The sequence below is a fragment of the Homo sapiens genome, chromosome 11 (assembly GCF_000001405.40).
Source record: "Homo sapiens chromosome 11, GRCh38.p14 Primary Assembly".
In the NCBI taxonomy this organism is placed as follows: domain Eukaryota; kingdom Metazoa; phylum Chordata; class Mammalia; order Primates; family Hominidae; genus Homo; species Homo sapiens.
Window position 1 is genome coordinate 101700563 of NC_000011.10, and position 9123 is coordinate 101709685.

The 9123-nt window shown below is 42.1% G+C and overlaps 1 protein-coding gene across 2 annotated transcripts, besides 1 other annotated feature; it reads left to right on the forward strand.

Moving 5' to 3' along the window:
* The first annotated feature begins 432 nt into the window (after positions 1–432).
* On the forward strand, positions 433–4024 carry LOC124902738 (endogenous retrovirus group K member 25 Env polyprotein). 2 transcript variants are annotated; one of them, XM_047427998.1, is made up of 2 exons: positions 433–1205; positions 2905–4024. In XM_047427998.1, the coding sequence occupies exons 1-2, from the start codon at positions 945–947 to the stop codon at positions 2959–2961; spliced, it is 318 nt and encodes a 105-aa protein (XP_047283954.1). In that variant the 5' UTR covers positions 433–944; the 3' UTR covers positions 2962–4024. The 2 variants fall into 2 exon arrangements, with proteins under 2 accessions (XP_047283954.1, XP_047283953.1); XM_047427997.1 differs by having other exon boundaries at positions 433–2930.
* Positions 7478–8118: an enhancer, noted in NCBI's record as "H3K27ac hESC enhancer chr11:101578771-101579411 (GRCh37/hg19 assembly coordinates)". NCBI's record gives its function as "activates a minimal SCP1, AML or CMV promoter by ChIP-STARR-seq in primed H9 embryonic stem cells {active_cell/tissue: H9 hESC(primed)}" and the evidence as "EXISTENCE:reporter gene assay evidence [ECO:0000049][PMID:30033119]".

Genomic DNA, 9123 nt, shown 5'->3' on the forward strand with positions numbered 1-9123 from the left:
GCTATTCAATTTATTACAACAAACTGTAAGAAAAAGAAATTTCCCATTCTATATTACTCATATTCGAGCACACACTAATTTACCAGGGCCTTTGACTAAAGCAAATAAACAAGCTGACTTACTGGTATCATCTGCACTCATAAAAGCACAAGAACTTCATGCTTTGACTCATGTAAATGCAGCAGGATTAAAAAACAAATTTGATGTCACATGGAAACTGGCAAAAGATATTGTACAACATTGCACCCAGTGTCAAGTCTTACACCTGCCCACTCAAGAGGCAGGAGTTAATCCCAGAGGTCTGTGTCCTAATGCATTATGGCAAATGGATGTCACGCATGTACCTTCATTTGGAAGATTATCATATGTTCATGTAACAGTTGATACTTATTCACATTTCATATGGGCAACTTGCCACACAGGAGAAAGTACTTCCCATGTTAAAAAACACTTATTGTCTTGTTTTGCTGTAATGGGAGTTCCAGAAAAAATCAAAACTGACAATGGACCAGGATATTGTAGTAAAGCTTTCCAAAAATTCTTAAGTCAGTGGAAAATTTCACATACAACAGGAATTCCTTATAATTCCCAAGGACAGGCCATAGTTGAAAGAACTAATAGAACACTCAAAACTCAATTAGTTAAACAAAAAGAAGGGGGAGACAGTAAGGAGTGTACCACTCCTCAGATGCAACTTAATCTAGCACTCTATACTTTAAATTTTTTAAACATTTATAGAAATCAGACTACTACTTCTGCAGAACAACATCTTACTGGTAAAAAGAACAGCCCACATGAAGGAAAACTAATTTGGTGGAAAGATAATAAAAATAAGACATGGGAAATAGGGAAGGTGATAACGTGGGGGAGAGGTTTTGCTTGTGTTTCACCAGGAGAAAATCAGCTTCCTGTTTGGATACCCACTAGACATTTGAAGTTCTACAATGAACCCATCAGAGATGCAAAGAAAAGCACCTCCGCGGAGACGGAGACACCGCAATCGAGCACCGTTGACTCACAAGATGAACAAAATGGTGACGTCAGAAGAACAGATGAAGTTGCCATCCACCAAGAAGGCAGAGCCGCCAACTTGGGCACAACTAAAGAAGCTGACGCAGTTAGCTACAAAATATCTAGAGAACACAAAGGTGACACAAACCCCAGAGAGTATGCTGCTTGCAGCCTTGATGATTGTATCAATGGTGGTAAGTCTCCCTATGCCTGCAGGAGCAGCTGCAGCTAACTATACCTACTGGGCCTATGTGCCTTTCCCGCCCTTAATTCGGGCAGTCACATGGATGGATAATCCTATAGAAGTATATGTTAATGATAGTGTATGGGTACCTGGCCCCATAGATGATCGCTGCCCTGCCAAACCTGAGGAAGAAGGGATGATGATAAATATTTCCATTGGGTATCGTTATCCTCCTATTTGCTTAGGGACAGCACCAGGATGTTTAATGCCTGCAGTCCAAAACTGGTTGGTAGAAGTACCTATTGTCAGTCCCATCAGTAGATTCACTTATCACATGGTAAGCGGGATGTCACTCAGGCCACGGGTAAATTATTTACAAGACTTTTCTTATCAAAGATCATTAAAATTTAGACCTAAAGGGAAACCTTGCCCCAAGGAAATTCCCAAAGAATCAAAAAATACAGAAGTTTTAGTTTGGGAAGAATGTGTGGCCAATAGTGCGGTGATATTACAAAACAATGAATTTGGAACTATTATAGATTGGGCACCTCGAGGTCAATTCTACCACAATTGCTCAGGACAAACTCAGTCGTGTCCAAGTGCACAAGTGAGTCCAGCTGTTGATAGCGACTTAACAGAAAGTTTAGACAAACATAAGCATAAAAAATTGCAGTCTTTCTACCCTTGGGAATGGGGAGAAAAAGGAATCTCTACCCCAAGACCAAAAATAGTAAGTCCTGTTTCTGGTCCTGAACATCCAGAATTATGGAGGCTTACTGTGGCCTCACACCACATTAGAATTTGGTCTGGAAATCAAACTTTAGAAACAAGAGATCGTAAGCCATTTTATACTGTCGACCTAAATTCCAGTCTAACAGTTCCTTTACAAAGTTGCGTAAAGCCCCCTTATATGCTAGTTGTAGGAAATATAGTTATTAAACCAGACTCCCAGACTATAACCTGTGAAAATTGTAGATTGCTTACTTGCATTGATTCAACTTTTAATTGGCAACACCGTATTCTGCTGGTGAGAGCAAGAGAGGGCGTGTGGATCCCTGTGTCCATGGACCGACCGTGGGAGGCCTCACCATCCATCCATATTTTGACTGAAGTATTAAAAGGTGTTTTAAATAGATCCAAAAGATTCATTTTTACTTTAATTGCAGTGATTATGGGATTAATTGCAGTCACAGCTACGGGTGCTGTAGCAGGAGTTGCATTGCACTCTTCTGTTCAGTCAGTAAACTTTGTTAATGATTGGCAAAAAAATTCTACAAGATTGTGGAATTCACAATCTAGTATTGATCAAAAATTGGCAAATCAAATTAATGATCTTAGACAAACTGTCATTTGGATGGGAGACAGACTCATGAGCTTAGAACATCGTTTCCAGTTACAATGTGACTGGAATACGTCAGATTTTTGTATTACACCCCAAATTTATAATGAGTCTGAGCATCACTGGGACATGGTTAGACGCCATCTACAGGGAAGAGAAGATAATCTCACTTTAGACATTTCCAAATTAAAAGAACAAATTTTCAAAGCATCAAAAGCCCATTTAAATTTGGTGCCAGGAACTGAGGCAATTGCAGGAGTTGCTGATGGCCTCGCAAATCTTAACCCTGTCACTTGGGTTAAGACCATTGGAAGTACTACAATTATAAATCTCATATTAATCCTTGTGTGCCTGTTTTGTCTGTTGTTAGTCTGCAGGTGTACCCAACAGCTCTGAAGAGACAGCAACCATCGAGAACGGGCCATGATGACGATGGCGGTTTTGTCAAAAAGAAAAGGGGGAAATGTGGGGAAAAGCAAGAGAGATCAGATTGTCACTGTGTCTGTGTAGAAAGAAGTAGACATAGGAGACTCCATTTTGTTATGTACTAAGAAAAATTCTTCTGCCTTGAGATTCTGTTAATCTATAACCTTACCCCCAACCCCGTGCTCTCTGAAACGTGTGCTGTGTCAACTCAGAGTTGAATGGATTAAGGGCGGTGCAGGATGTGCTTTGTTAAACAGATGCTTGAAGGCAGCATGCTCCTTAAGAGTCATCACCACTCCCTAATCTCAAGTACCCAGGGACACAAAAACTGCGGAAGGCCGCAGGGACCTCTGCCTAGGAAAGCCAGGTATTGTCCAAGGTTTCTCCCCATGTGATAGTCTGAAATATGGCCTCGTGGGAAGGGAAAGACCTGACCGTCCCCCAGCCCGACACCCGTAAAGGGTCTGTGCTGAGGAGGATTAGTAAAAGAGGAAGGAATGCCTCTTGCAGTTGAGACAAGAGGAAGGCATCTGTCTCCTGCCTGTCCCTGGGCAATGGAATGTCTCGGTATAAAACCCGATTGTATGCTCCATCTACTGAGATAGGGAAAAACCGCCTTAGGGCTGGAGGTGGGACCTGCGGGCAGCAATACTGCTTTGTAAAGCATTGAGATGTTTATGTGTATGCATATCTAAAAGCACAGCACTTAATCCTTTACATTGTCTATGATGCAAAGACCTTTGTTCACGTGTTTGTCTGCTGACCCTCTCCCCACAATTGTCTTGTGACCCTGACACATCCCCCTCTTTGAGAAACACCCACAGATGATCAATAAATACTAAGGGAACTCAGAGGCTGGCGGGATCCTCCATATGCTGAACGCTGGTTCCCCGGTTCCCCTTATTTCTTTCTCTATACTTTGTCTCTGTGTCTTTTTCTTTTCCAAATCTCTCGTCCCACCTTACGAGAAACACCCACAGGTGTGTAGGGGCAACCCACCCCTACATTGTGTTTCTCCAGCAAAATCTTTGTCAGAAAAACAATAAATACAATTTGTAAAATTTTAAGTCATTTTGCCAGGGATGGGGAGTTGACAGGTTAATGAAGTGGAAGGGAAAATAACTTAGTAAGTCCAGAACTCTATAAACCTTTTCTGTTTTATGGTTGTTATTGCTACTCTTATTTAATCATTTCAATAACCCTGAAAGGTACTGATATCCACTTTAAGGATTAAAAAATCCTGAGCCTCATAAAAGTTAAGTAACTTGATCAAAGTCAGCTGGAGAGACCAAGGTTTCTTTAGGGCTTGAATCATATCTGCCTGATTCCACAGCCCAGGCTTCCATGCATAACAGAGTAAGTGGTGCAAAGGGACATGGCAGGTTCTATAGGGTGCCTACCCAGCATCTTTTGTCCCTTATTTCATCTTAATAAAATCCATATGTTGTTAAGATAACCAACCTCCCACACATCACCATGTATTTCAGAGGATGAGACCTCATCCCCTACTCAAGGGGTGCCTGATGGAATGGTCATTACCATTCCCTTTGCCATGAAGGCTTTAGGGTTCAAATGTAACTTAACTCTAGCCACTTTCATATGAGGTGAAATCTGCTGGTGGAAGGACAGATGGTGGATAGCACTTCAGGGGGAAAAAAGAAAAACCAATTTTCTCTCTCTTTAGACAGTATACAGTAAATGTGCCTGATAGCAATAACTTAAGCATACCCTGAGAATTTCCCTGTATGGCAGACATACCTGAATATGTGTTCTGAGCTAGGGAATCCAGGAGTGGCCAACCAGCAAGTTTGTTCATTGTCTATGGGAAACTCTGAGCCCTTAGCCCACCCTGTGGCATATGGGCCATACACGGGATCAAGGCCCACGTTTTGTGTTGCATGAAGGTTACCAGGTGGAGGTTGTTAGGGAAAGAGGGTTATGAGAAAATACTACATAAACCTCATGTTTTTTGCAAGTAGTTGTAGTTCTTCTGCCCAGTCTGCTCCCACTGGGCTGTGCAATTATTCTCTCTAGCCTGCCACCACTGGACTCTCTCCCCTGTATGTAAGGCCCCAGTGAAACCCCATGTCTTGTTTGCTGGTTTTGGGTCTCTTCTTCAGCCTCTTGAACCTGATGCCATCCCCACTGGAGTCTATAGGGGTTCAGCACGACAGAGAAAAAAAACAAGCAAGAAATAATTCTCTTCATCTTGGGGATATGGTTATATTTGGAAATGATGCCTGGAACTGCTACCAGCAATTTGGTATCAGCCTGAGGATAAAGCTTCTGCCCAAGAGGACATAACAGAGGAACAAAAGAACCTTGGCTCTTGAATAGCTAGTGGAATTCACTGATTAAGTAATCCTGGAGTTTGCTGTCCCCCCAGGATTCCCCTTATAAAATAACATATGCCTGTGTTCACCCCAGTTTAAATTCTGGTTTCTTTCACTGGACCCTAAAGCATCCTAATGGTATAACTGGATGCCAAGACTCCATGCAGCAAGGCTAGACTGCCTTTGCTCCTTGTAGATTTCAAGGGAGTTGTAACAGGAGATCCTAAACTGAAATAAATTCATCCAAGCAGAGCAGACGAAGGGGTCAAAGTGGCTGAGACTTGCCACTATGACTTCTAAGGCAGGGGGGTTAGAAAACCAGGGCCCAGCTGTTATGGAGGCAGGAACATTTGCAGGAATGAAACCTGGGACTATTATCAAAGCAACCTGGCTAGTTTAATAAGCTGAAGTTGAGCCCTGTAACCAATACACAGAACAGCTGGTCAAGTTCTATCAAGCTGAGGTCATTTACAAGAAAAGTAGAAAGGGGTTGCCTGGCAAGAACCAAGTTAATTAAATTATCTCCTAAGAATTTCTTCTGGACAGTGATTATTTTTTAATTTAAGGGACAATTTTGAAACCTAATTATCCCCACAATCACCTTCAATTCATTGGCTTAGTGATTTAAATTTAACGTGTTAAAAGTTTTTATGTTAAATATTTAAAACACATTAAATTAGTAATTTTAATAAATCTAATATCTATGTGAAGATTCTAAGTACACAAGCTATTTAAATTCTTAACACAATATTTGTATTTATCAGGGGAGGAGAGATTGAAAGGGGAGAGAGAGAAAATATTAAGAAACAGCAGACCTTGGTCATAGTTCTTGTCATTAGTCATATTGTTTATTTTCTGTTAGTATGCATAACAGAGAAACACTCCAGCATTTGGTGATTCACTGCATTTTACTTGTTAATAATAGAATGCCTCTTAAAGAACCGTGTGTAGAAAAGCACTGAAATCGCTTCCCTGGAAAAACTGAGGGTAGTCTCCATTTAAGTATAGAATCACATAAACTAATGAACACTAAATTACCATTTATCTTCTTCCACATTCCTGGATTTTCTTCAGTGAATTTGACCACAAAAAAAATGCCAGTTTCACAGTAGACCTTTTTCTTTCATAAATTGCCCAGTCTTGGGTACGTCTTTACCACCAGTGTGAAAACTAACTAATACGGTAAACGGGTACCAGTAGAGTCGGGCGTTACTGGAAAGATACCCAAAAATGTGGAAGCGATTTTGGAACTGGGTCACAGGCAGAGGTTGGAAGAGTTTGGAGGGCTCAAAAGTAGAAGAAAAATGTGGGAAAGTTTGGAACTTCCTAGAGACTTGTTGAATGGCTCTGCCCAAAATGCTGATAGTGATATGGACAATGAAGTCCATGCTGAGGTGATCTCAGATGGAGATGAGGAACTTGTTGGGAACTGGAGCAAAGGTGACTCTTGTTATGTTTTCACAAAGAGACTGGCAATATTTTGCCCCTGTTCTAGAGATCTGTGGAACTTTGAACTTGAGAGAGATAATTTGCGGTATCTGAAGGAAGAAATTTCTAGGCAACAAAGCATTCACAGGTGACTTGGGTGCTGTCAAAGGCACTCCGTTTTACGAGGAAAAAAGAGTATAAAAGTTTGGAAAATTTGCAGCTTGACAAGGTGATAGAAAAGAAAATCCCATTTTCTTAAGAGAAATTCAAGCCCACTGCAGAAACTTGCATAAGTAACAAGGAGCCAAATGTTAATCCCCAAAACAATGAGGGAAATGTCTCCAGGGCATGTCTGAGGTCTTAACAGCTAACAGCAGCCCCTCCCATCACAGCCTGGAGGCCTAGGAGGAAAGAGTGGTTTCATGGGCCCGGCCCAGGGTCCCAGTGCTGTGCCAGACTAGGGATTTAGTGCCCTGCTTTCCAGCCACCCCAGCCATGACTAAAAGGGGCCAAGGTACAACTCAGGCCATCGCTTTAGAAGGTGCAAGCCACAAGCCTTGGCAGCTTCTAGGTGGTGTTGAGCCTGTAAGTGCATAGAATTCAAGAATTGGGGGTTGGAAACCTCCACCTAGGTTTCAGGAGATGTATGGAAACACCTGGATGCCCAGGGAGAAGTTTGCTGCAGGGGCAGGCCCTCATGGAGAACCTCTGCTAGGCTAGGGCAGTGCAGAAGGGAAATGTGGGGTTGGAACCCCCACACAGAGTCCTTACTGGGGCACCACTTATTGGAGCTGTGAGAAGAGGGTCTCCGTCCTCCAAACCCCAGAATGGTAAATCCACCAACAGCTTGCACCATATGCCTGGAAAAGCCACAGACACTCAACACCAGCCCATGAAAGCAGCCAGGAGGGAGGCTGTGCCCTGCAAAGCCACAGGGTCAGAGCTGCCCCAAACCATGGGAACCCACCTCTTGCATCAGTGTGACCTGGATGTGAGACAGGGAGTCAAATGAGATCATTTTGGAGCTTTAAGATTTGATTGCCCTGCTGGATTTCAGATTTGCATGGGGCCTGTAGCCCCTTTGTTTTGGCCAATTTCTGCCATTTGGAATGGGTGTCTTTATGCAATGCCTGTCCCCCATTGTATCTAGGAAGTAACTAACTTGCTTTTCATTTTGCTAGCTCATAGGCAGAAGGGACTTGCCTTGTCTCAGATAAGATTTTGGACTGTGGACTTTTGAGTTAATGCTGAAAAGAGCTAAGACTTTGGGGGAAGGCAAAATTGGTTTTGAAATGTGAGGACGAGATTTGGGGGGGGCCAGGGATGAAATGATGTGGTTTGGCTGTGTCCCCACCCAAATCTCATCATGAATTGCCATGTGTTGTGGGAGGGACCTGGTGGGAGGTAATTGAATCATGGGGGCAGGTCTTTCCCATGCTGTTCTCGTGATAGTGAGTCTCACGAGATCTGATGGTTTTAAAAACAGGAGTTTCCCTTTACAAGCTCTCTCTTCTCTTGTCTGCTGACATGTGAGAAGGTGCCTTTCACCTTCCACCATGATTGTGAAGCCTCCCCAGCTACATGGAACTGTAAGTCCATTAAATCTCTTTCTTTTGTAAATTGCCCAGTCTTGGGTATGTCTTTATCAGTAGTATAAAAATTAACTAATACAACAACCATATTCAAGTGCTTACTAGTAAAAGATGGGACAGGATTTACATTGACCGCTATTGCCAATATTTTCTAGAACATTGTATTAGTCAGGGTTCTCTAGAGAAAGAGGACCAAATGGTAAGTATGTAGATAGGTATTTATTTATTAATAAGAAATTGGTTCACATGATTATAGAGACTAAATCTAGAACCAGGAAAACTGATGGGATAGTTGCAGTCTGAGTCCAAAGGCCTGAGAAGCAGGAGAGCTGATGGTGTAAACTCCAGTCTGAGTTTGAGGCCAAAGGCAGGAGAAGACTGATGTCCCACCTCAAAGACAGTTAGAAAGAAAGGCAGAATTCCTTCTTATTCAGTCTCTTTTTCTATTCAGGCCTTCAACAGATTGGGTGAGGCCTACCCACATTGGGGAGGGCAACCGGCTTTCCTCAGTCTATCAATCCAAATGTTAAATGTTCTTCTTATTCAGAAACACCCTCACAGGCACACCCAGGCATAATGTTTAACCAACGATCTGGACATCCTTTGGCTCAGTCAATTTGACACATAAAATAACCATAATAAACACTTTTCAATTGTTTTCACCATCTGATGCAGTATAAGGTGATTAAAAAAAAAGTCAGGAAATGAGCCTGACTTTTGAGGCAATAAAAGACTATTTTGTTTAAAGATACCCTAGAGATTTCTACTAGCAATAAGGAAGATTAGATCTAAAGGTCTTTCTTCCACAAA

Coding starts and splice junctions, on each gene's coding strand:
- LOC124902738 (XM_047427997.1), top strand. CDS start 945: ATGAACCCATCAGAGATGCAAAGAAAAGCACCTCCGCGGAGACGGAGA.